Source organism: Homo sapiens, chromosome 13, assembly GCF_000001405.40.
Source record: "Homo sapiens chromosome 13, GRCh38.p14 Primary Assembly".
Classification (NCBI taxonomy): domain Eukaryota; kingdom Metazoa; phylum Chordata; class Mammalia; order Primates; family Hominidae; genus Homo; species Homo sapiens.
Genome location: NC_000013.11, coordinates 84377116 through 84404519, shown reverse-complemented (window position 1 = coordinate 84404519; position 27404 = coordinate 84377116). Strand labels below are relative to the sequence as shown.

At 36.5% G+C, this 27404-nt stretch overlaps 1 long non-coding RNA gene across 1 annotated transcript in view, besides 1 other annotated feature; it reads right to left on the bottom strand.

Moving 5' to 3' along the window:
- Positions 1 to 27404, bottom strand: part of LINC00333 (long intergenic non-protein coding RNA 333) — a 466167-nt gene that overhangs the window by 202249 nt on the left and 236514 nt on the right. The window lies entirely within an intron of this gene.
- Positions 4852 to 5146: an enhancer, noted in NCBI's record as "tiled region #2923; HepG2 Activating DNase matched - State 8:EnhW, and K562 Activating non-DNase unmatched - State 24:Quies". NCBI's record gives its function as "activates a minimal TATA promoter and a strong SV40 promoter by Sharpr-MPRA in HepG2 and K562 cells {active_cell/tissue: HepG2 | K562}" and the evidence as "EXISTENCE:reporter gene assay evidence [ECO:0000049][PMID:27701403]".

Sequence of the window (27404 nt, the reverse complement as noted above, 5' to 3'; positions counted from 1 at the left end):
GAATGTAATTAATGGAGATATGAAGACATAAAAAGAAAGTAGTGTACATTGTTTATGCAAGTGGTAAGCTTCAGAGAAAGATAAAAGCCATGGAACACAAATTACCTGTATTAGACATAAAAATTAGACAAAGAAGTACACACAAGAGACTTTCAGACAGACTGCATGTACATTAATTGAGAGTACAAATAAAAGAGCCAGAATTGAGTTGGGTAAAAGTAATTGCATGAAGCAGAGGTTTCAGATGTTGAAAGAAATGAAGGTAGAGTTTAGAAGTGTCCTAAGTTTCACTTACCTAAATATCCCTGTAGAAATGGCTATAGAGATAACTTATTTTAAATATATTTTTGAAAGAGTTCTTAAAGTTGTTTTTAAAAAATGCCTATATCAGAGACTACATAAGACAAGGGTGAGCATTATGTAATCTAGAAACATCCCACTAAGGTTGGATGGCATTTCCATTAAATGGCTATCTAGTCTCAGGAAAATAATCTTTATTTTTGAGACTCAGTTTACTTATCTGTAGAATGAAGATAAATATGGTGTTTAGCTCAGAGAATTTCTGGAAACAAATGATTTAATACATCTAAAATGCTTAGAAAAATTCTTGACATCTAGAAACCTTCAAATGATTGAAAAGTATTAACTATTATATTGATTGCATGTGATTAGCTTTAATTGTAACTAATATTTAAAGCTAATATTCAAATAGTACTAAATGATATTTTATTAAAGGGAAGAGGAAAGAAAATATTGGTATTTTTTGTAGGGCTTTTAATTTTAGATCTTTTTTTTTTCACAATCTTACAAAAAGGTGACATTTGAACAGAAAGTGTAAGGAATAAGGAACAAGTCTATACATACCTAGAGGAAGAATATTCCAAGCAGAAGAAACAGTAGGTAGAAAAACTTGAGGGCAGCACGCTTTTGGTGAACTTGAGGAGTAGAATAAACCAGGCAGATGGTGGTGAAAGATAAGGTCTGGAAGATGAGCAAGATCGTGTTCAGTCTTTCAGTTCAGGACAGAAAGGTACAATTTTATTCTTATTGTGAATGGAAGCCATTGGAAGATTGGGGAAAGAACACAATACATTAAAAAAGATACTTTGAGCCATTGTGTGGAAGACATAGTGTGATGGGCAATCACTTTAGTAGGAAGGGCAGCTATTGAGTAAGCCAGAGAAAAATGATGAATTCGAGTGGAACAATAAAAGTAGTGATGAGTGTTTCCTATAGGTTAAAAAAAATGAATACTGAAGAGAAAAGAAAATCCCAAATTAACTCATTATTCAGAATTATTATGTTTTAAAATAAGAGAGTTTTGATTATCTTTATATTGCGTGTTCTTCTATGACATCACAGCTCTTAGAGTGGTTGGGATATTTCATGTGGGGAGGATTCATAGAAGATGAGAATTGTAAATAGCCATCCTATAATTTAAAATTCATTTTACGAAAATATTGAAACCAAACATGTTTGGGCAGGGTACCAATGTGGCTTCACCTGCTGTACATAAAATAGTGCTGAGAAGCCATAATAGAAAAATTGGTGAAATGCAAAAAAATCCCTTTGACCAAAGAACCATGGTAGGAAGAATAATTACCCTCCAAAGATATCTCTCTCTTAATCCCTGCAACCTTCTGTAAATATATGAAGCTACATGACACAGGGAATTAAGATAGTGAATAGAATTCAGATTCGCTAATACATTGGCATTAAATTGGTAGATGATCTTGGTTTACCCAGTTGGGCCCAATGTAATTTCATGTTCCGCAAATGTGGAAAAAGAAGGTAAAATACACTATGTTAGATTAATGTGATATGAGAAACTGTTGATGAGAGTAATGCAACTGGCCCTTGCTCGCTTTGAAGATGAAAGGGGGCCACAAACCAAGAATGGAAGGTGGTTGTCCATAAGCTGGCAAAACAAGAATTTGGATTATCCCCTAGAGCCTCCAGAAAGGTTAGTAACTCTGGTAATAATGTGATGTCGGCCTAGTGAGACCCATTTTGGACATGTGAACTATAAGTTAATAAATTTGTGTTGGTATAAGCCATTAAATTTGTGGTACTTTGTTTCCAAAGTAATGGAAAATATATACAATTAATAAAATATGTTTATATTAGGGGAAGCTGAGTGAAAGGTATATGAAAACTTTGTAATATCCTGTGACTTTTCTGCAAACCTGACATTATTCCAACAGAAAAGATTTGAAAAAAAAATTCTCTAAACATTTCAAGCTGAATCTTTCTAAAATTGACCATATAATCACTTCCCTAACCTCTGCTTTCTACATTAACTCTCCATTAGTTTTACTCTCATGCATTCAATTAAAACAAATCTGGAACTTCAATATCATCCTGGATGTATTCAATATCTCCTAAAGAACACATCCTAACATGATTATTCCACAAAGTAATGTATCAATTATTTTCCCCATTCTTACTCAACTTTGTGACTATTACTAGAGACCCCTAACCCATTTACTTGCTTTTAATACCTCTGCACATCTCTCTGAGTTCTCTTAATAGTGATAGTGTTGTCCCTTTAATACAAACAACTATTCATGATATTCCATAACAATCTATAATGATACTCTACTACCCACAGCAATATACCCTTTCAGAAGCTCATACTTTCTCTCCATTTTTTTCCCCTTTCTCTTTTCTATCCATAAGGCTCCAGGCACAGAGAACTTCTCTATTTTCTTTGAACGTGCTATACTATTGACACATAAATTTTAACATGTATTTTTTACATCTTTCTAACATATTTCACCACTTTTTCATTGTTTCATAAGTCATAATGATTATAATAATTACAATGAAAAATTGACCTCTCCATGATCTTTTATGGATTCCTTTTCTGTAACCTTACACAATAAGATCAGTTGAGTTACTCACAGGTAAGCAAATTGGTGCATAGTTCTATTGCAGCACACTTCACATTGCATTTGATTGTTGGAAGTGTATACTGTCCATCCATCTCTATATTCTTCAAAGCAGAGACCATGTCTTATTTGTCATTCTGTCTCCAGTAGCTACAAATAGACTCCATTATCAGCTGTGTGTAAGATTAAAAATTGTCCAGTAGGAGACAAATTAAAAACTTGTTACAAATGGAGTCTGTTTGTTGTTCTACACATATTACAGTTTCATCACTTTCATCAACTACTCTTTAGAATATGACTGCATGATTCCACAGTTTACTAATCTTAGACACAGCACCTGAAACTTAGAATAGATGTGTCTTTGTTATATTAATTCCTAGTATCCCCCAAGTCTCAGAGATATTTGAACTAAGGGCAAGAGTTCCAATGATGTGCCCAGCAACTTTCCCCTAGCTGGTATTCAAGACTTAAGTGGTATTTATCATCCTATCAGGACCCATCTGAACACATTGAAGCTAATGGGAGGCTCATTCAACTTAACAGGATACACGTTTGCTTAACAGAAGGCACATCAACTTAACACAATACATCTGTAACATATTTGACTTCCATACACCTTTTGATGCCTACCCTTTGTTAATTCCGACTGCAGAGGCTAATGCCCTTGTAGTGGTGTAGAACAGTAATGAGTCAAGTGAAAGCAATGGGAATTGAAAGGCAGGAAATGATTAAGTTGATGTTGGTGGTATAATTGAGGAGAAAACTGAATGTGAACAATGTGAGTAATGAGATTATTTGAGACTCCCAGCCTGAATGGATGAGAGGATATTACCATCATTGCCAAAGAATATTAGTCATCAATGTATCCAAATGTTATTTGACTCTGTCTTTTGTTGTACTCAAACTCTACTTTGTGCTACTATATTTTTAAAAACCCTGTGAGATACTAAAAACTGAATAAATACTATAAGATTTCTAATTTTCTTGTGAATTAGATGAGGTGTAATGAGGCAACAAATATATTGAAAACAACAATGCATGCAAGGAGAGAAAAGTTGGATTTAATTTTGCCTTTCAATTACCATCTGCATAATCTGAGGAAAGTACCTTTGCTGAGACTAATTTTTTTAGGTATATCTTTAAATACAACAAATTTATTGTTTTATGTAAGGACTAATGTGTATATAAATATCAAAATTATGAATTTATATATGCAATGTATATAGCAGATAGCCAAGATAAATGCGGACAGCGTGAGAGAGCTGCTGAGAGAGCTGCTGAATAAAGCCATATTTTATATATTAAAATAAACTCTAAATTCCATACTTTATACATTAAATATTCCATATATATATATTATATATTATATATTCCATACTTTATATATTAAAATAAACTCTAAATTCCAACAATCTATACAATATTTGGAATTACTGTTATTGAAGACATTTAAAAACTATTGTATATCTTCCTTTCTTCTTGCACTCAGAAGACTCTTAAAACTTGTTTACATATTGGTTTTCTTTGCCTTTTGACTCAAGCAGTTAAGAATTTTAATGCACAAAATATAAAATAGAAACTTTATTCACTGTTAGGCTCACGACTATGCCAAATGTCAGGTTCAGGGTCAGGCTGTAGCCCCAGCTGAGGTCTGAGGGGAGTGGGTGGATGGGCAGATAGCCGAAAGAACACTTGGGAGGCCGTAGGCAGGTGGAATATGGCTTTATTCAGCAGCTCTCTCATTAGCAACTCTCTAACACTGTCTGCATTTATCTTGGCTATCTGCTCTGGCTCTGTGGCTCCTCTCAGCAGCCAGTTCTGTGGCTCCTGCTGCCCCCACACTTGCAGCTGCACTCCCTGACCTGCAAGGCCAACTACAGGGTCAGCAGCTTAACTCTCCCTCTAGGCACAAGCCAGTTCCTGGCTCCCCCCTGCCCACCTTCAAGGCGACCAGCTCTACAGGGCTAAGCAGTGTTACTCTCTCTCTGGACACCAGTGAGAACTGAGCCTATACAGTGTCAGGGCAGTTACACTTTTCAAACAATAGTGCCTGAGAGCCAAGTATAAGTTTACACAAAACAGGTTATATAATAAGTGGAGTCTGCGCCTGCACCCTAAACTTGCTGAGTCATCCTGGCCTGGATATTTACCTCGACCTCTTCCTTGACCAAAGCACAACCGTGTAGCTTACATTCCACCCCCTAGGCTGAGGGAGACATAGGTTTTGGGCACACAGGCCCAATACACAAGTTTGGCACATAGGCTCTGGACACACATGTCCAACACATAAGCTTTGGGCACACAGGCTCAATACATACACATAGGCTTGACACATAAGCCTAACATATAGCCTTTGGGTGCACAGGTCTGATACATACACATAGGCTTAACACATAAGCCTGGCCTGATACATACACATAAGCCTGGCATGATACATACACACACACAGGCCAGATACATAGGTATAGGCTTGACACAGGCCTTATACATAGGTTCTGTGCACACAGGCCTGTGACATACATTAGCTTCAATAAAGTGTCCAGCAGTCAGTGCAGATTACCATATTGGTGCAGATTACCTCTTTGGTGATTACCATTTACACTGCCCTGAGTTTAGCTTATTAGCTCCTCTGTCTACACCTGGTTTCAAACCATATGGTGTCAGTATTAAGTTGAACGGCAACAGCAGTCCAGACAGCAGTAGCATTCTAGCTAGACCCATTTGTGTACCATGCCCCATTAGGAAAGGGGGGATGCTCTTCCTTAAATGGTGATGGCTCAGGCTCTAGGGGTGCCTCAGGCCTCATGGCATTAGGCCCCATGGCCTTATCTTGCATTAGGACTACAGGTCCCAAGCCCTCTTATAACTCTGCTGCTATGGGACTTGTACTCAGCATACTCCACTGTTCTAAATAGGCACCCCACTTTGCAAGGTGGATGTCTGTGCCTTTCCACTCTGGGGGGTCATTACTCACGAATGGCCCACCCCAGTATTGGGCACGTCAGCTGCAAGATGACTGTAACTCATCCTGTCACACTCTTGTAAGGCTGAAGGGCAGCATATGCAGTTACTAACTGCTTCTTTCTTAATAAACACAGGAGCTCAGCTCCCTTTCACAGTTGGGACTAAAAGCAGGCTATTCAGCAGGCACAAGCCCAGGGGTGCCCATTTAAACTAGATGTGCATGTGACCACAGATGGTTTTGGCTAGGGCCTATAGTGGTACATGGAGCGCTTGGAATTTCCAGGAGGCTTTTAGTCTCACAAGAGCATGGCCGGATGAGTTACAGTCATCTCCACTCCCAACCTCCACCCTCTGATAGGCCCCAATATCTGTGGTTCCTCTCTATGTATCCATGTGTTCCATTATTTAGCTCCCACTTATAAGTGAGAACATGTGGTATTTTGTTTTCTGTTTCTGTGTTAGTTTGCAAAAGGAGATGGCCTCCAGCTCCATTCACGTTTCTGCAAAGGACATAATCTTGTTCTTTTTTATGGCTGCATAGTATTCCATGGTGTATATGTACTGCATTTTCTTTATTCAGTCTATCATTGATGCTCATTTAGATTGATTCCATGTCTTTCCTCTTGTGAATAGTGTTTCAATGAACACACATGTTTATATTCCTTTCCATATATATGAAATAATGAGATTGCTGGGTCAAATGGTAGCTCTGTCTTTAGATCTTTGAGGAATCGCCCCACTCTCTTCCATGATGGCTAAATTCATTTACACTCCCACCAACAGTGTATAAGTGTTCCTTTTTCAGCTGTCTCAACTAACCCCATCTCTACTAAAAATACAAAAATTAGCCAGGCATGGTGGCAGGCTCCTGTAATCCCAGCTACTCAGGAGGCTGAGGAAGGAGAATTTCTTGAACCCAGGAGGTTAAGGCTGCAGTGAGCCGAGATCACACCACTGCACTCCAGCCTGGACGACAGAGGAAGACTCTGCCTTGAAAAAAAAAAGAAACAGTGTTCCCTTTTCTCCACAACTTCATCAGCATCTGTTATTTTTTGACTTTTTATTAATAGCCAATCTGGCTTTTCTAATATCCAGCATCTTTAAGGAACTTACACAAATTTACAAGAAAAATAACAACCCAATAAAAACAGTGAGCAAAGGACATGAACAGACACTTTTCAGAAGAAGACATGCATATGGCCAACAATCACATGAAGAAAAGCTCAACATCACTGATTATTACAGAAAAGTGAATCAAAACCACAATAAGATACCATCTCACAACAGTCAGTGTGGCTCTTACCTTATTTTTCCTAAAAAATATGGCTTTGTTATGCCTAATCTACCTTCTTTAGTGGTAGATATGTGAATATGTGGGGAAAGGGTAGATATGAAGTCTCAATTACACAATTTCCAGAAAAAAACTGCACTCATCAACTGCCTGTCTTCTCTGTTCAGATTTTTGTGCAATGAAAATGGTGGTCATTGCTCAGATTAAGAACTCCATCCTCCGTCTTAAAAGTCTGTCTTTGGATTTGACTCTTTAATATACAACTGTGACTGGATCTTGACTTTTTTATTTCTATTCTTATCTTCCCTCTATTTCTAATATAACTGAAAGTGGTGCATGGCTGACCATGTCTAGAAATAAACGATGTTCATAATGATAACAAATAACAACATCACTCTTCAAGCCAATTGCATTTAAGATATATCCATTTAGAGGCGTCCTATTTAAGGTTTAGATCATTTCACCAGCTGTTTTGAGGCAGAGTTCATAAATTTCTTTAAAATAAAATGGTTAAAATTATTTTAAAATGAAGCAGAGGAGAATTCCAAATCTGGACAATAGCCAATTCTAAAATAATAGAAAATTCACTCACTTTTTGCATTCCTATTTGTTTTATTAATTAGTATATAAAGTTTATATACATATACACATATATACACACATATATATACATATATACACATATATATACATATATACACATATATACATATATACATATATATGTATACATATATATATACATATATACATATACATATATATATACATATATATATATGGAAGAGGGGAACAAATAAATGACTTTGCTTCACAGTTTGACCATAAAGATGCTTAATGACCATATTCTAATAGGACTACAGTAACCTTAATGCCCACATTTAATCTAATATTACATAAGGTTAGTGAATAATATATAACGTGATTTATTTTGATTGTGAGGAAGCTAACTTGTAGTAGTACATGAGCCTTATATTTTTTGCATTTTTCTTCCTTTCTAAAATTATTTTATTGATAGATAATTATAGATTTGATATTTTGATACATGCATACAATATATAATTATCAAGTCATGGTATGTAGGATATCCATCTCTTCTAACACTGAACATTTTCTGCGTTGGGAACATTTCAGATTTTTTATTCTAACTATTTTGAAATATACAATCAATTTTTGTGACTATAGTCACTCTAATGTGATACCAAACACTGGAACCTACTCTTTCTACTTAACTATCTGTTTTCAATCAACCTCTTTTCATCCCCTACCTCCTTTTTCAGATTCTGATGATTATCTTTCTCCTTCATGAGATTAACTCTTTTAGCTCTTGCATATGAGTGAGACATTGCAGCATTTATTTTTCTGTGCCTGACTTATTTCACTTGATGACTTCCAGTTCCATCCATGTTGCTGCAAATGACAGAATCATTTTTATGGGTAAATAGTGTTTCATTGTGTAGATATACCATGTTTTTCATTTATTCATCCATGGATGGACATTTGCACTGCATCCATATTTTGGCTATTGTGAATAGTGCTGCAATAAACATAAGGGTATTGGTATCCCTTTGATATACTGAATCCTTTTTTTTTTTTTTTTTTCAGATAAGTACTTCATAGTGACATTGCTGAATTGTATGGTAGTTCTATTTTTTTGTGTCCTTTGGATGATAGATATTTTAATTGGGGTGAGACGGTATCTCATTTTGGTTTTGATTTGTATTTACCTGATGATTAGTGCTATTGACCATTTTTAAATATACCTCTTGGTAATCTGTATGTCATCTTTTGAGAAATCTATTCAGACCATTTGCCCACTTTCTAATAGAATCACTTGAATTTCTATTGTTGCTGAGTTGTATGAGTTCTTTGTATATTCTGGATATTAGTTTCTTGTCAGACAAATGAGTAGTTTGCAAATATTTTTTCACATTCAACAGGTTGTCTCTTCACTTTGTTGATTGTTTTCTATGTTGTGCAGAAATGTTTTAGTTTACTATTGTCTCGTTTGTATATTCCTATTTTTGTTGCCTGTGCTTTTGAAGACTTAGCCATAAAATCTTTACCTTGTCCTGAAGTGTTTTCCTTATCTTTTCTTCTAGTAGAAGGTCTAGGTCTCTTGTTTAATTTTTTTATCCATTTTGAGCTGATTTTCATATATTGGGAGAGGTGACTAGTTTCACTCTTCTGCATATGGATATCTAATTTTCCCAGCACTATTTTTGAAGAGGATGTCCTTTGAGCAATGTATGTTCTTGACAGATTTGTTAAAAATTATTTGGCTATAAATACATGGATTTAGGAATTGAGGGGAAAAATGGCAGATAAAAGGCAGGACTAATTTGCAGCTCCCACTTGGTTGGAAAAAATGGCATGTAGAGACACATTATGAACTTTTGCTCCAAGAACTACCACAGAAACATACCAAGAAAAAGAAAAGAATTCACAGAGCCTTTGAAAGAACGGTTTGCCACTGCAAACTCGGTGAGATAGCCAATAATCTGTGAGCGCCCAAAGTGTGAGAGGAGGCATGTCCTCCTCTGAACATACATCCTCACTGAGGAACCTGAAAATCCATGTCACAGAAAAGGAGTTAACCTTACTTAGAGCTGAAATGAATTTAGAGGGCTGAGCAAAATATAAAAGTAAAAGAAGCAGCAAAAAGAGCCTCATAGGCACTTCCAGTCCCCAAGGAAACTATTTTATCTCATAGTGGTCCTTGGGGAGGGCTGCCATCAGAATTGGGAAAAGACCGCAGGGAGAAAGAAACTTCCAGCTGAGATTTGCAATAATTTTGATCAAGCACAAATTTTCCTGGGCAGAATCTGGGGGTAAGGGGAGGCAAACGAGAGGTGCAGATATGAGCACAGAAGCTGAGGCAGGTGAGGAGGGGCAAGGCCTGAAAGCCTTGCTTACTTTCTCATCAGGGAAGCTTGTAGCCTGAGGCAAGATCTCAGCCCAGCTCACAGTCTTCCTGAATATAAATTTGGTGCTGTTGGTGGGGCGTGGTGGGAGTGAGACTGGCCTTGGTGGCTGTGTGGGAGTTGGGTGAAGCCTGTCACTGCCAGCTTTTCCTCACTTCCCTGGCACCCTGTATGACACAGAAGCAGCATCCATAACCCCCCTGGGAACATAACTCCATTGGCCTGAGAACCTCACCTTCATCCTGCACAGCAGCCACAACAAGTCTTGCCCAAGAAGAGTCTGAGCTCAGACATGCATAATCTTGTCCCTGCCTGCTGGTCTTTCTTTACCCATCTTGGTAGCCAAAGAAAAAACACTTAATCTCTTGGGAGCTCTGTGGCCCCAACCATCACCTGAGAAAACCGAATACTTATCCAAGTGACCTTAGGGTAAGCTTGTATCACCCCTATACTACCACAACTGATACTCTCTTTAAAGCACCACCTCCTGGCTGGAGGCCAACCAACTTAAGCCATTACAGCAACTCATAAGAGAACAACCCTGCTTCAAGAAAGGAGAAAATACCAGCTAATTCCGCCACCTGTGACATCCTGGCTAACCAGAGGTTCTGAGTCTGTTCACATGACAACTTTACTGCTAGTACAATTAGCATTCAAGAAAACCAGTACGCTAAACAAAACTACAACCAAAGACCCTCACAGAGTCCACTTCAATCCCCTGCCACCTTCACCAGAATAGGTGCTGGTATCCCTGGCTGAGAGACCTGAAGACAGATTCACAACACAGGACTCTTTGCAGACACTCCCCAGTACTAGCCCAGAGCCTGCTAGCTCTGCTGGGTGGCTAGACTGGAGAGCAATAAGAATCACTGCAGTCTAGCTCTCAGGAAGCCCCCATCCCTATGGGTAGGGAGAGAGCACCACATTAAGCGGGTATCCCATGAGACAATCTGAACAGCAGCCATTGAACCCCAGATCTTCCCTCTGACATAATCTATCCAATTGAGAAGAAACTAGAAAAACAATTCTGGTGATATGAGAAAACAAGATTATTTAACACCCCCAAGATCACAATAGTTCACCAGCAATAGATCCAAACCAAGAGGAAATCTCTGAATTGCCAGAAAAAGAATTCAGAAGGTCAATTATTAAGCTACTCAAAGAGGCACCAGAGAAAGGTGAAAAACAACTTAAATAAATTAAAAAAAACAAAAAAAAACAGGATATGGACAAAAAATCTCCAGAGAAACAATCACAACTTCTGGAAATGAAAGACACACTTAGAGAAATGCAAAGTACACTGGAAAGTTTCAACAATACAATCAGACAAGTAGAAGAAAGAACTTCAGAGCTCAAAGACAAGGCTTTTAAATTAACCCAATCCAACAAAGACAAAGGAAAAAGAATTTAAAAAATGAAAAAAGCCTCCAAGAAGTTTGGAATTATGTTAAATGACCAAACCCAAAAACAATTAGTGTTCTTGGGGTAGAAGATAAATCTAAAAGTTTGGAAAACTTATTGTATAAAATAATCAAAGAACATTTCCATGCCTTGCTAGAGAACTAGACATTCAAACATAAGAAGCACAAAGAACACCCAGGGAATTTAACCACAAAAGGATCATCACCTAGGCAGGTAGTCATCATGTTATCTAAAGGCAAGATGAAGGAAAGAACCTTAAGAGCTATGAGGCTCTTAAACTGTGAGCTTAAGAGCTGTGAGCTGTGAGGCAAAAGCATCAGGTAACCTATAAAGGAAAACCTATCAGATTAACAGCAGATTTCTCAAACCCTACAAGCTAGAAGAGATTGGAGTCCTATCTTTAGCTTCCTTAAACAAAACAATTATTAGCCAAGAATTTCGTATGTAGCAAAACTAAGTTTCATAAATAAAGGAAAGATACAATCTTTTTCAGACAAATTAATGCTGAGAGAATTTACCACTACCAAGACAGCACTATAAAAACTGCTAAAAAGAGTTTCAAATCTTAAAATAAAACCTCAAAATACACCAAAATAGAACCCCCTTAAAGCATAAATCTCACAGGGCCTATAAAACAATAACACAACAAATAAAACAAAAACACATACAAGGTATTCAGGCAACAACTAACATGATAAATAGAATTACTAGTAGCTCACATCTCAATACTAATGTTGAATGTAAATGGCCGGAATACTACACTTAAAAGATACAGAATGTCAGAAAGGATAAGAATTCGCCAACCCTGTATCTGGTGTCTTTAAGTGACTCATCTAACACATAAGAACTCACAATAACTTAAGATAAAGGGGTGAAAAAGGTATTCCATGCAAATGGACACCAAAAGCCAGCAGGATTAGCTATTTAGATATCAGACAAAATGGACTTTTAAGCAACAACAGTTACAAAAGACAAAGAGGAACATTATATAATGATAAGAGGACTACACAAACAGGAAAATATCAAAATTCTAAATATATATGCACCTACTGGAGCTCCCAAATTTATAAAGCTAATGCTACTAGACCTAAGAAATGAGACAGACAGCAACACAATAATATTAGGGGACTTCAATACTCCACTGTCAACACTAGACAGATCAAGACAGAAAGTCAGCAAAGAAACCATGGACTTAAAATATATTCTAGAACAAATGTAATGAGCCGATACTTACAGAAAATTCTACCCAAAAACTGCAGAATATACATTCTAGTATGAACAGAGAACATTCTCCAAGATAGACCATATGACAGTTCACAAAACAAGTCTCAATAAATATAAAAAAATTGAAATAATATCAAGTACTCTCTCAGTACACAGTGGAATAAAATTGGAAATCAACTCCAAAAGGAACTCTCAAAACCATACAAATACATGGAAATTAAATAATTTGCTTCTGAATGAGAATTGGGTCAACAAGGAAATCAAGTTGGAAATTTAAAAATTCTATGAACTGAATAATAGTGACACAACTTATCAAACCCTCTGAGGTACAGCAAAAGTGATGCTAAGAGGAAAGTTCCTAGCATTAAAAGCCTACATCATAAAGTGTAAAAAAACAAAAATAAATAATCTAAGCTTATACCTAAAGGAACTAAAAAAACAAGAACAAACCAAACCCAAACCCAGCAGAACGCAAGAAATAACAAAGATCAGAGCAGAACTAAATGAAATGGAAACAACCAAAAAAAATACAAAAGATAAATGAAGCAAAAAGCTGGTTCTTTGAAAAGACAAACAAACTGATAGACCATTAGTGAGATTAACCAAGAAAAGAAGAGAGAAGATCCAAATAAGCTCAATTAGAAATGAAACGGGAGGCCGATTACAACTGTAATCCCAGCACATTGGAAGGCAAAAGCGGGCAGATCCCTTGAGGTCAGGAGTTTGAGACCAGCCTGGCCAACATGGTGAAACTCCATCTCTACTAAAAATACAAAAATTAGCCAGGTATGGTGTCATGCACCTGTAATCCTAGCTACTTGGCAGGCTGAGAAACAAGAATCGCTTGAACCTAAGAGGTGGAGGTTGCAGTGAGCTGAGATTGTTCCACTGCACTCCAGCTTGGGCTACAGAGTAAAACTATGTCTAAAAAAAAAAAAAAAAAAAAAGGGCCAGGTGCGGTGGCTCACCCCTGTAATCCTAGCACTTTAGGAGGCCGAGTCACGTGGATCACGAGGTCAGGAGTTTGAGAGCAGCCTGGCCGCATAGTAAAACGCCGTATCTACTAAAAATACAAAAATTAGCCTCGCATGGTGGCACACACCTGTAGTCCTAGCTACTCAGGAGGCTGAGGCAGGAGAATCACTTGAACCCGGGAGGCGGAGGTTGCAGTGAGCCAAGATCATGCCACTGCACTCCAACCTGTGTGACAGTGAGGCTCTGTCTAAAAAAAGAGAGAGAGAGAGGAAAAAAAATGAAATGGGAGATATTACAAATGACACAACAGAAGTACAAAAGATAATAAGAAAATTCAAGGCTAATGTGAACACCTTTATATGCACAAACTAGAAAACATAGAGGAGATAGATAAATTCCTGGATATACACAACTCTCCTAGATTAAACCACGAAGAAATAGAAACTCTGAACAGACCAATAAATGTGAGATTAAAATGGTAATAAAAAACTTGCCAACAAAAAAAAAAGTCCAGGACCAGATAGATTCACAGCTGAATTCTATCACACACTCAAAGAAGAATTGGTACCAATCCTATTGAACTATTCCAAAAGACAGAGAAAGAGGACTTCCTTTCTAAATCATTCTATGAAGCAGTATCACCCCAACATGAAAACCAGGAAAGGACATAACAAAAAAAGAAAACTACAGATTGATATCCCTGATGAACATAGATGCTAAAATCCTTAACAAAACACTAGATAACTGAATCCAACAACATATCAAAAAGATAATCCACCATGATCAAGTGGGTTTCATTCCAGGGATGCAGGGGTGGTTTAACATACGCAAGTCAATAAATGTGATAAACAAAAATCACATGATAATCCAAATAGATGCATAAAAAGTAGTTGACAAAATCCAGCATCGCTTTATGATTAAAACCCTCAGCAAAACTGGCATATAATGGACATACATCAAGGTAATAAAAGCCATCTATGACAAACCCACAGCCAACATTATCCTGAGTAGGGAAAAGTTGAAAGCATTCCTCTTCAGAACTGGAAGAAAACAAAGATTTCCACTTTCACCATGTCTGTTCAATATAGTACTGGAAGTCCTAGCCAGAGCAAATCAGACAAGAGAAATAAATGTAGGGCATACAAATTTGGTAAAGAGAAAGTCGCACTCTCACTGTTCACTGTTATGATTGTAAGCGCAGAAAACCCTAAAGATTCATTCAAAAAGCTCCCAAATCAGATAAATAAATTCATAATGCTTCAAAATACAAAGTCAATATACACAAATCAGTAGCTTGGCTATACACCAAGAGTGACCAAACAGAGAATCAAATCAAGAACTCAACCTCGTTTACAATAGCTGGAAAAAAAAAAAAAGATATATACCTAACCAAGGAGGTGAAAGACTTCTGCAAAGAAAACTACAAAACACTGCTGAAAGAAATCATAGATGACACAAAAAAATGGAAAAACATCCCATGCTCCTGGATGGGTAGAATTAATATTGTGAAAATGACTATACTGCCAAAAGCAATCTATAAATTTAATACAATTCCCATCAAAATACCACTATCATTCTTCATGGAAGTAGAAAAAACAATGCTAAAATTCATATGGAACAAAAAAAGAGCCCGGATAGCCAAGGCAAAACTAAGCAAAAAGAACAAATCTGGAGGCATCACATTACCCACCTTCAAACTATACTTTAAGTTTATATCACAAAAAGAGTGGGATCCAGCAATCCCACTCTTGAGTATCTCCCCAGAGGGAAAGAAGTCATTATATGAAAAAGACACTTGTGCATATATGTTTATAGCTGCATAATTCGCAATTGCAAAAATATGGAACCAGTCCAAATACCCATAAATCAATGATGGGATAAAGAAAATTCCCTCTCTCTCTCTCTCTCTCTCTCTCTCTCTCTCTCTCTCTATATATATATATATATATATAAATCATGACTGTTATGAAATCATAACATTCACAGCAACCTGGATTCAATTGGAGACTATTATACTAAGTGAAGTAACTCAGGAATGAAAAACCAAACATTGTATGTTGTCACTTATAAGTGGGAGCTAAGCTCTGAGGATGCAAAGGCATAAGAATTATACAATAGACTTTGGGGTCTTGTGAGGAAGTGTGGGAGGGGAGTGATGGATAAAAGACTACACATTGGGTACAGTGTATGCTGCTCCGGTGATGGGTGCACCGAAATCTCAGAAATCATCAATAAACAACTTATTCATGTAACCAAACACCACCTGTTTCCCCAAAACCCATAGAAATAAAATACATACATACATACATACATACATACATACATACATGGATGTACTTCTGTATTCTGTATTCTGTTCCATTCATGTAGTTGTCTGTTTTTATGCCAATACCATACTGTTTTGGTTACCCTAGCTTGAGAACATGAGTCGAAGTCAGGTAGTGTGGTGCATCCAGCTTTTTTTCTTTTGCTCAGTATCATTTTGGCTATTAGAATTCTTTTCTGGTTCCAAACAGATTTTAGGCTTGTTTTTCTATTTCTGTGATTAATATAATTATTATTTTGACACAGATTGCATTGAATTTGCAGATTACTTTGGGTTATGCATCATTTTAACTGTAATAATACTTTGAATCCAAGATCATTGGCTCTTATTCCATTTGTTTGTGTCCTCTTGAATTTCTTCCATCGGTGCTGCCTAATTTTAAGAAGTCTTTAACCTCTTCAGTTAAATTTATTTCTCAGTATTTTAGTGTGAGTGTGTGTGTGTGTGTGTGTGTGTATTGTAACTGATGTTACTTTCTTGATTTTTTTAGCTAGTTTGCTATTGGTATATAGAAACACTACTCGTATTTGTACGTTGATTTTGTATCTTGCAACTTTACTGTATTCGTTTATCAGTTGTAAAACGTTTTTGTTGGTTGTGATATCTGTAGGTTTTTCCATATATAAGGTCATGTCATCTGCAAAAGGAGATTTCCTGTCTTCCAATTTAGATTAGTTTTATTTCTTCCTCTTGTATGATTGCTTTGAGTAAGACTTCCAGTGCTATGTTGAAATAAAAGTGGTAAAAAATGCATATTTTTTGTCTTATTCTACTTTTTAGAGAAAAGGCAGTCAGCTTTTTCCAATTCAGTCTGTGGATGTGTCATATATGGCCTTATTATGTTGAGGTATGTTCCTTCTATGCTTAAGTTGTTGAGAGTTTTTATCATGAAGAGATGTTGAATATTACCAATTGCTTTTTCTGTTTCTATTGAGATGATCAAATGGTTTTGTGCTTCATTCTGTTAATGTGATGTATCACATTTATTGATTTGCGTATGTTAAATCATCCTGTATCTCTGGTACACATCCCACTTAATCATGCTATATTGTCTTTTAATTAATTATTTTTGAGACAGGGTCTCACTCTGTCACCCGGGTTGGAGTACAGTGGTGTGATCATGGCTCAAAGCAACCTCAATCTCCCAGGCTCAAACAATCCTCTCACTTCAGCCTCTCATATGTTTTTAATGTGGTGTTGGATTCAGTTTACTAGTATTTTGTTGAGGATTTTTGCACCTGTATTAAGCAAGAATATTAGCCTATAGTTTTCTTTTATTGTGTCCTTGGCTAGTTTTGGTATCAAGGTAACATTGGCCTCAGAGAATAAGTTTGGAAGAATTTCCTTCACTTCAACTTTTTCATATCCTTCAGGTTGAGAATATGAATACTAGTTATTCAAAAAGTTTTTCTGAATTTAGCAGTGAAGATATCTAATTTTGAGCTTTCTTTTGGTGGAAGACTTCTTATGATTGATTTAAATCTCATTACTCATTATCGTGTTGTTTAGGTTTCCTATTCCTTCCTTATTCCACCTTGGTACGTTGTATATGCCCAGAAATTTATCCGTTTCTGTTTTCCAATTTTTTAGCATAGGGTTTTCCATAATATTCTCTAGTGACTCTTTTTATTTCTGTAGTATCAGTTGTAATATCTTCTTTTCATTTTTGATTGTATTTATGTGAGTGTTTTGCTCTCTCTTTTTTTGGTTATTTTACTGATTATGTTTTGTTTATCTTTTCAAACAAACAATAAGTTTTTCATTAAGCTTCATTTTTTGTGTGTTTTTAGCCTCTATTTTCCTTAGTTCTGCTTTGATCTGTATTCTTTACTTTTACTAATTTTGTGTTTGATTTCTTCTTGTTTTTCTAGTTTCTTAAGGTGCATAATTAGGTTGTTTATTTGAACTATTTCTGCTTTTTTATGTAAGTGTCTATTGCTATAAACTTCCTTCTGAGCACTGCTTTTGCTGTATTCCATAGATTGAGGTAAGTCCTCTATGTTTCCATTTTTATTTATTTCAAAAAATTATTTTCTTTTCAAATTCTTTATTGATTCAATGATCATCCAGGACCACATTCTTTAATTTCCATATATCTGTACATGTATAAAGCTTCTCTTGTTATATATTTCCAGTTTTTTTCCTGTGGTAATCTAAGAAGATACTTAATACAAATTTGACTTTTTGAAAATTTGTTGAAACTTGTTATGTGGCCTAAAATATGGCTCATCCTGTATAATATTCTTTGTGCTGATGAGACGTATGTATACTCTGCAGTTCTTGGATGAAATGTTTTGTAAGTATCTGTTAATTTCATTTGGCTTGTGGAGCAGAGTATATCTGATATTTCTTTGTTGATTTTTTGTATTTGTTTTCTTATCTACCAGTTGTTTTTTCTTTTAGCTCTTTAAATATAATACCCATTCTTTCCTGGTCTGTAAGGTTTCTTCTGAGAAATTGTTCTTATTCTGATGATAGTTTCTTTATAGGTAACTGGATGCTTTTCATTTGGTTGTTTTTAGAATTCTCTCTTTGTCTTTTACTTTTTACAGTTTAACTATAATGTACCTTGGAAAAGATATTTTGGGGACTGGATCTATTTGAAGATTCTTAAGCTTTCTATATCTGTATGTCCAAGTCTCTTGAAAGACTTGAAAATATTTCAACTCTTATTTTGTTAAATAGGTTTTCTATGCCTTTGCACATCTCTTCTCCTTCTGGAAATGTCTAAATTCATTTTTTTTTTTTTTTTGCTAATGGTGTTTATGTCACATAAATTTTCTTTACTTTTATTTTTAATCAGAGTGAGTTATATTGAATGGCCTATCTTTAAGGTTAGAAATTCTTTATTTTGCTTAATCTCATCCGTTGTCAAACCTCTTGGTTGTAATTTTCATTTTATTCATTGAATTCTTCAATTTCAGGATTTCTGATTGGTTCTTTTTTATAGTTATTTATCATCTTTTGTTGAATTTCTCATTTAGATCATGCATTGTTTTCTTTATCTGTGTTATTTTGTATCTCACTGAGTTTCTTTAATTTCGTAATTTTGAATTATTTTTCAGACATTTCACAGATTTCCTTTTTTTTTCTATTCTGTCCTTGGAGAATTATTGTGTTGCTTTAGAGGTGTCTTTTATTTTATTTTTTTCCCCATTTCATGTGTCCTTAAACTGATATCTACACATATGGTATAACAGTTGCTTATTGTAATTATACAGACTGGCTTTCATAGGGAAAGATGTTTTTCTGTATCTATGTTTCCATTGTTGCTTGATTAGAGCACTTTGACTTTGATTCTGGGTGGATACAGTAGTGTAGTCTTTATATGATTTCTTCATCTGTAATCAATTTCAGTAGTATCTGTGAGATCTTCATGAGCTTAGGCTGCAGATTTTAGTGGACACTGTTGAGGCTTTCTTGGGGATGAGGAAGCCTGGTAGGCCAGTTCTTGGGCACCAGTGGTGGTGCAGTGAACTGGGTGTCCCAGTCCTCAGGCACCCGGATGGTATAGGTGGGCATCATCATTGACAGGTTTAGGCAAGTCAATATTTGAGTCTCTAGGTGGTATGCTTGGGCAATAGCAGTATCAGCAATGGGCTGGGAAGGGGGATGCTCAGGCCTTCAGGTGGCATGTGTGGCATTAGCAGTGACATTAGAAGCAGCAGACCAACCCTCAGGTGCACATGGGTGGGTGCCATTGGCAGCAGGCTGAGTGGGCTCATCCCTGAGGCCTCAGAAGGCCTGTGTGAGTGCCAGTAGTGGGCATGTTGGTCTCCTGGATGGTTTGTGTGTTCACTGGTGGTGGTGGGCTGGGTGCCCCAAGTTCCCAGATGACATGCACAGGTGCCAACAGTGATGGCCAGTGCAAGTTAATCTCTGTATCCCTGAATGATGTGTGCAAGTGATGATGTTGGCAGCAGTATTAAGCATGAGCCTGTCCTCAGATCCCAAAATGGTGCATGCAGGTGCTGATGGGAACAGGTGGAGCAGGTCAGTCTCCAGATCCTTGGGCAGTGTGTTTGGATGCTGGTGGGAGTGGCAGTGGCAGTGACATTGGGCATAGCAGGATGGTCCTCAGGCTTTGGGATGGTTTGTGGGAATGCTAGTGACAAAGCCATCTGAAGGCTGGTGCAAGTGTGCAGTAATCCTGCTGCTGAAGGGGCAGGGTTTCTGTTAGTGGCAGCAGCCCCAAGCAGATGGCTCTCAGTCTCTGAGAAGCATGTGCCCTGGCTACCTTTTTCCAGGGATTGCTTCCCTGCTGAGTTGCTCCACTCATTCCTTCCAGTGTAGGACACTGTGTTGTCTAGAGTACTTGGGACCCAATCATACCAAGGGGTCCCGCGGTATGACGGTGCTATATCCCTCTTGGTTGACCTGGAGGTGGAAATATTAGTGGGGCCTTAGGGATGTGGAGATGCAGGGGCTTTGGGGCTCCAGGGAAGGATGTCTAGTGGGGGATTGACTCTCAAAATAGCAAAGTGCTACAGTTGCTTTGGTCTCAGGCAGTGTGTGGGATACAGCGTGAATATTGTCTCTGGAACAATGTCATTGTTTGGATTCCAAGAAGCTCTCTATTCTAGTTTAAGGCCCCTGAAGGTCAAGGGGCTCTCCTGTAGCTAGGATTGCAGGAGTCATGGTGGGAATGTGGACCTATTGAGATCTCTTCCTTACCTTTTCCCCATAATGGGGCATTCCTTCTGGCTCCAAGTTGATATTGGCCAGGTAGACTGTCTCAGTTCACTCTTTTTTTATGCCTCAGAGGTGCCCTGTCACTTCCTTGCTGAATTCCATGGTTCTGCCTTAGATGCTTTATTTGACATATTGTTATCTGTTCACTGTTTTGGTCCTTGTTTGTGGAGAAGGCAAGTGCCAGGCACCTCCAGTCAGCCATCTTGAATTCTCCCTGTACTTGAGAACTGAATGTTATCATTTTCTTTATAGACACTAACATAGTGAGCAAAAGCAGGTTAAACAACTTCTAAAAATTGTTTTCTATTGGTTTAAATGATTAGCCAAAACAAAACTAGTTCACATGGACTTGTAATGGATCAGACACATCTTTTAGGTCTTGCTCTTAATTCTATATTAAGACTTCTAAGTAGAAAAATAAAAGAAGGATCTTCCTTTGGATTAGCACTATGAAAACTGAGCGAAGTGAATGAGACACAAAAATCTATGAGGAAAGATATTTTTACTTGATTGCCATTTAAAAATTGCAATGTATTTTAATCTGCATAAAATAAGTGGTGCCTATTAAAAAATATCATTTGCTGTAATGCATAAAGTATATCCCTTCAGAGGCTTGCTTTATGGCAAAGAAAATGTGTTAAAAGTGTGAGCCATAATTTTATAGTTAAGCCCAAGGTTGCAAATAAAACAAAGGAGAAATAAAAATACAAAAAATAGAACATCCAGTGCAAGTTCAAAAAAAGGACATTAAAATATTATCTTAATTGAAAATATGCTAAAAATTCATGTTTTATGTTAAAGTAATTATATCAAAATAAATACTTAAAAATACTTTATTATTTTTTGTTATCGTAGTTTGGCTTTTTAACACAAAATGATATATACCTCCCCCTCATAATCTCTCATGTTCTCCTGCCATACCCTCTTCTGCTTGTGGGGATCCTTAAATATGATGATGTCTCTAATGGACTTTTCTTTACCCAAGACAATTCCTAAATAGTAGACAAGTCTCATTTAAAACATCCTCCTACAAACATTCCTGAATGTCCCTGTACTAGGGCAGGTGCTAAACTAGGGATACCATGTATCCCTGGTCATTCTGAACATCTCCTATGGTACCACTTAGAGAACTTTACTTTTAAAAGTTCATGAGTAATAATCTTTTTTCCCCCAGCAAGATGATGCATTATTAAGCTTACTATTGCTCATGAGGAGAGTCAAGCAGTCACTCAGACACTTGAGACATCTCTACAGAGGCCTTGCAGAAAATGCAGGACTGGAAGAATCTATTGAAGAGGAGAAGTGAAATAGATTTTTGTCTACTAGTTCCTCTGATTTCCCATATGCCATTGATTCAAGTATGCTCATAGGGAGTTAACTCCCTCTTATCTGGGTTGCATGTCCCTGCCCTTTCAGCAACTTTATATGAATTCTGAAGTAGTGGCAGGAGACAGGAGCAGTTTGCAGGGCTCTTTGGTAAGGGTTTGAGAGACAGGTATGGGCCAATACATCTGAGGGGAACATGCAATGCGAAAGGTACAGAGAAGGGGCTAAAGAACTAGCACTCTTTTCTAATCTGCAATTCTACATCACACAGACACCCTCAAAAGTATTTGATATATTGATTATGATTCCCATTTCTTATGTATTAACAAGCATATAGCGATTAAATTTCTTACACAAGTTCATTAAAGCATTAATAAACATGATGCTAGAACTCAGTGTTCCTTATACCACACCAATCTCATTTTATTTCCTAGTCTAAATATGGTGATGGTATAAGTTTTGGACAATTCATATTGAAACAAGAAGTGTCTGAAAATTTGATTTTGACCATCCTGATTAACTGATGATTTATGTAATTTCTTTTATTAGTAAGAAAAGAAGCAATCAATTTTGAGAAACTGTCAAAATAGATGTCTCTTCCTTGCAAAGCATACTTTTTGTTTAAAAGCAATTATCTAGTTTGGTGTTAAAAAAAACACAAAATCTTTGAAGCTACTCTGGCTTCCATAGTTATGAACATATAATGTTTCTGGGACAACCTTAGAATAACTCTTGGACACATGGGAAAGCTATTAAAAAATAAAATGCTCTTTAAGTTCTTCTGACTAAATGCTTATGAATCATTAAAAGAGTTTTTTTTTTTTTTTTCCAGAATGTAAAGGTGCCAGTTTTCCAATGAGGCATTAAAACCCTAGGATATTGGAGAAGACAAAAAACAGATTATTCAGTTACATAAGCAAAATTACTTTGATTTCAGATTACACAATACTCTATTAAGTACTAACGTGCCATAATAAAGCACACATAAAAAATAAACATGTCACATGAGCAAAATTCTATCCCAGTTCGAGTGAAATATAGTATTACTATATTATCATAATATAATTATACATAGTCAAAATGAACTTCTTAGAGTGCATAGAAACACAGACAACTAATTGAGAATTTGTTGAAAAAGAGAGTAGAGGAGTTTGCATTCTTGAAATGTTTTATTTAAGAAGCAGCCTGGGCATGTGGGACGTGGGGACGCTGCGGCGGGAGGATTGCTTGAGGCAAGGAGTTGGAGACCAACCTAAGCAAGACAGTGAGACTCCATCTCTCAAAAAAAAAAGAAAAGAAATAAAAAAAAAGAGAAAAGGCTTCAGGTTCTGTGAGTTCATAATAGACAAACATGTCTTATTCTTGCTCTGCAAGCATCTGTTTGCTGAAAGAAGTTGAAGGAAGTTAGGATTACCAGAGGGTTTTCTCCCCTGATGTTAAAGCTATTGGAATGAACATATGGAAGGAATCGGCCAGCTGGGTTGCAAAGACGACCTAAAACCTTCTCATTAAAATGATCACTTCTGCTGATTTGGAATGCCTGCAGAGATAAATGGTAGGAGAATTTACTATTGTGGTGTGGCTACATCTCTTTAAAGCGTTAGTGACCCCAGGATCTTCCTTGCCTATCCACCCAAATCATGCTGGTTTTGTTTATATTTCTGTAACTGTATAATGATCCATGATAATCCCATAAAAGAATGAGGAGTTAATCTCGTATCCAACACCCTGCTCTCTTTGATATCAAGATATTTTCTAATGAGAAGGGTGCATTATTTACCATGTATGCATGTAGGAAATGAAATATCTATTTTTACTTCGTGATTTTTATGTGCATTGTTTTGTGGATATTTAATAAGATTTGATCTCTTGTATATAAGTAGAAAGCATTTTTTGCCTTCTTTGTTAATATATATTGATTATAAGGCTTATATTAGAATAGAAAGAAATTAGATTCAGGAAGAAAATTATACTTCTTATTCCTAGGATATTTAATACTTTTTTTGTAAACCATAAATTCTATATAGATAGCAGAAAGATTCTAATATTTAATATTGACTGTAACATGCAATTATTTGTCTTGCCCTTTATTGTCATCTTATATCATGTTGTGGGAGGAGGCAAATAAGAAAAAGTAAATAGTTACCTTAATTTCTTCTGAAAAGTCAGTACTGGCAGCAATCCTTTATCAATCAGTGTAAAGGGAATATTCTTTATTCACAAGCTTTATTAGAAATAGAGTCTCCGTATTAGAGCCAAAGACACTCAATCCTTACTGTTTGTTTGCAATGAAAGTTGTGTTTAGGTTTCAGAATACATGCAAAGGCATTAAAAAAATCATATATATATGTATATATTTTTAAAAAAACTGAAATGTAATAAAACAGTAGACTTGGTTGCATTGGGATAATTTTTTAACTGCTTTTTATTGTGGTCACATATTCATAACATAAAATTTGTCCTACTATGTGTGGCTTATTTTACATAGCATAATGTCTTCAAGGTTAATCTATATTATAGCATGTATCAGAGTTTCATTCCTTTTTAAGGCTGAATAATATTTCATTGTATACTTACACTAACAAAATACAGTTAAGTTGAACATTTAAGTTTCTCACACTTTTTGGCTATTGTGAATAATATTGCTATAAAAATGGGTATACAATATCTGAGTTCCTGCTTTCAATCATTTCAAGTAAAATTGGTGGATTATATAATAATACTTTTTTTTAGGGACTGCATAACTGATTAAAAATTACCTTATTTTACATTATTGGGTGGTTTTATTATCAGTGACTATTCCTAAATTTTTGACTACATGGTAGCGTACTTAAAATTGAATCATATATTTATTTGTTAAAAGTGAAATTTTCATTGCTAATATGAATGAATACTTGACCCAGTTGGGCAAACTATTACCTGTATCTGCTAACTTCATAATTATATAATGAAAATGATTGATAATTAGCTCTTGAAATGTGGATATTGGTAGATATTTGTGGTACTCCAGTAGGGGCATAAATCAACTCTTCACCTAAATCTGGTGTGAATGTTGAGACTGATGCAAATGTGCATTGAGAGGGTTTATTATTCAAGTAAAGAGACTTCCTGGGGCATGTAAGACTGGTACACAAGCCAGTCTGGAATGACTCGAGCAAGTGGGTGAGGGTTGGCTTGGAGTTCTTTTTCTTGGTAGGGGGTAGATTTGTGAACATGTTCCAGCTTTTGGGTTATGGATTATGTGGCTTGTATTTCCAGTGGTGCCGAGGGACCTGTGGTCTTATTTATCAACTTGCCCTGATAAGTGCTAGAGGGAAAGAGATGGAAATGGGGCCAAATAGCTTCCAGCAGTCAAACATCAAACATGGAGTCAGACTCTTTATTGCTGTAGAAAGTGTGATTAGAATTTAAAGTACTTAATTTTACTAGTCCTAAAATTCACTGGCTATGTGATGTTAAAATAGCCAATTAACCTACCTAATTGCTCTAATACCTAAGAGGGTTTTAAGAAGATGTTTTGAATTACAGATATTAAAATCTTTGGAAGTACTACAATAGTTGATTCTAAGTAGTCTGTTTCCTAGAATCCACGTGCTTAAGCGTTAGAGATGCAGTCTCATGCTATTGTCACGTTTAGACTTGTGAGACTGACTATATTCAGCACACAGTTTGTACTTTAATCTGTAATCTTGACCAGCATATATAGCTTCTTTGTTTCCCAGTTCCATATGTATAAAATCAGAGTATTAAGACCATATTTCACAATTCCTTATTGTGAGGATTAAATCAATCCATGTATTTAAAACATTTTTTTAAAGTATCTAGCATATGCTAAACACCTTAAGCGTTAGATAATTATTTGTAGAGAAATGAATGAGAAAAACCAATACAAAGTTGCTATGGTTCACATATGTGACGCCTCCAAATGGTCAAATTAGATCCCCAGTTTTGGAGGTGGGGCCCAGTGGCAGGTGTTTGGGTCACAGAGGTGGATCCATCACGAATGGCGTGGTGTTTTCCTCATGGTCATCAGTGAACTTTTACTCTATTCGTTCCCCCATAGATTTGGTTGTTTAAAAGAGTCTGGCACCTCTTTCCCCTCTCTCTTCCTTCTGCTCTCTCACCTTGTGATCGCTGGACATCCCAGCTCTGCTTCATGTTCTGCCATGAGCAAAAGTAGCCTGAAGCCCTCACCAGAAGCAGATGCTGGAGCCATGCTTCTTGTACAGCCTGAAGAATTGTGAGTCATATAAACTTCTTTCCTTTGTAAATCACCCAGCCTCAGGTACTCTTTTATACCAGCACAAGTGGACTGAGGCAGAAAATGTCCAAATTTATGAAGATATCTTTTGGAGAAAAAAGTAAATATTTGCATTCATATTTGTAGCTTCTCAGAGGAGCATTTTCTTTAGTCCAATTTCTTATTAGTATTTTCTCAAAATTACATAATGCATTTAAAGTAATTTAAGTCAGTATAAAAATTAAGAAATTTGGCTGGGTGCAGTGGCTCACGCCTGTAATACCAGCGCTTTGGGAGGCAAAGGCGGGTGGATCACCTGGTGTCAGGAGTTCAAGACCAGCCTGGCCAACATGGTGAAACCCCGTCTCTACTAAAAATACAAAAATTAGCTGGATGTGGTGGCGTACGTCTGTAGTCACAGCTACTCCGGAGGCTGAGGCTGGAGAATCGCTTGAACCTGGGAGGTGGAGGTTGCAGTGAGCCGAGATGGTGCTACTGCACTCTAACCTGGGTGACAAAGCGACACTTGGTCTCAAAAAAAAAAATAATGAAAAAATTAAAAACTTTACATGACACCTTAAAGCATCTTTTATATTCTTTTTAGAAATAAATAAATCATCAAAGTGATACTATTGGCTCTTCTCATAAATATCATTTATTATTCCACCCTCTGTTGTTCTAAAATTGACAGCAGGTTCTTTAAACCTAGCAAATCTCTGTCAATGTAATAATTACAAGCAAACCAAATGCTTCAGTACAATTTTAACACATGGGAGTCCTGGGCCCACTTTCTAAAATGTGAATAACAGAGATTTGTCTTGGAGTTTATATTCATCTCTATGGTAACTAGATAAATCACTCCAGTGTCAATGAGACAAAGTTCTGGCTCTCATTTCAAAACACACATATGCATTTTCACATTGTAGCAGTCAACATAGAGATATCTCTCCAAGCTTAGAATTTTGCCCTTGGGGGATGATTTTGACTGTGTATCAGTGACTCTCTTTCCTTGTATTGGTATTTACATATCTCTAAGGAGCATTTTTGCTTGTGTTCCAGAGTACAAAGCAGGAAAAGCAGAGTTCTGAGCACTCAAAGGGCACATATAAGTTTGGCTCTAAGAATTACA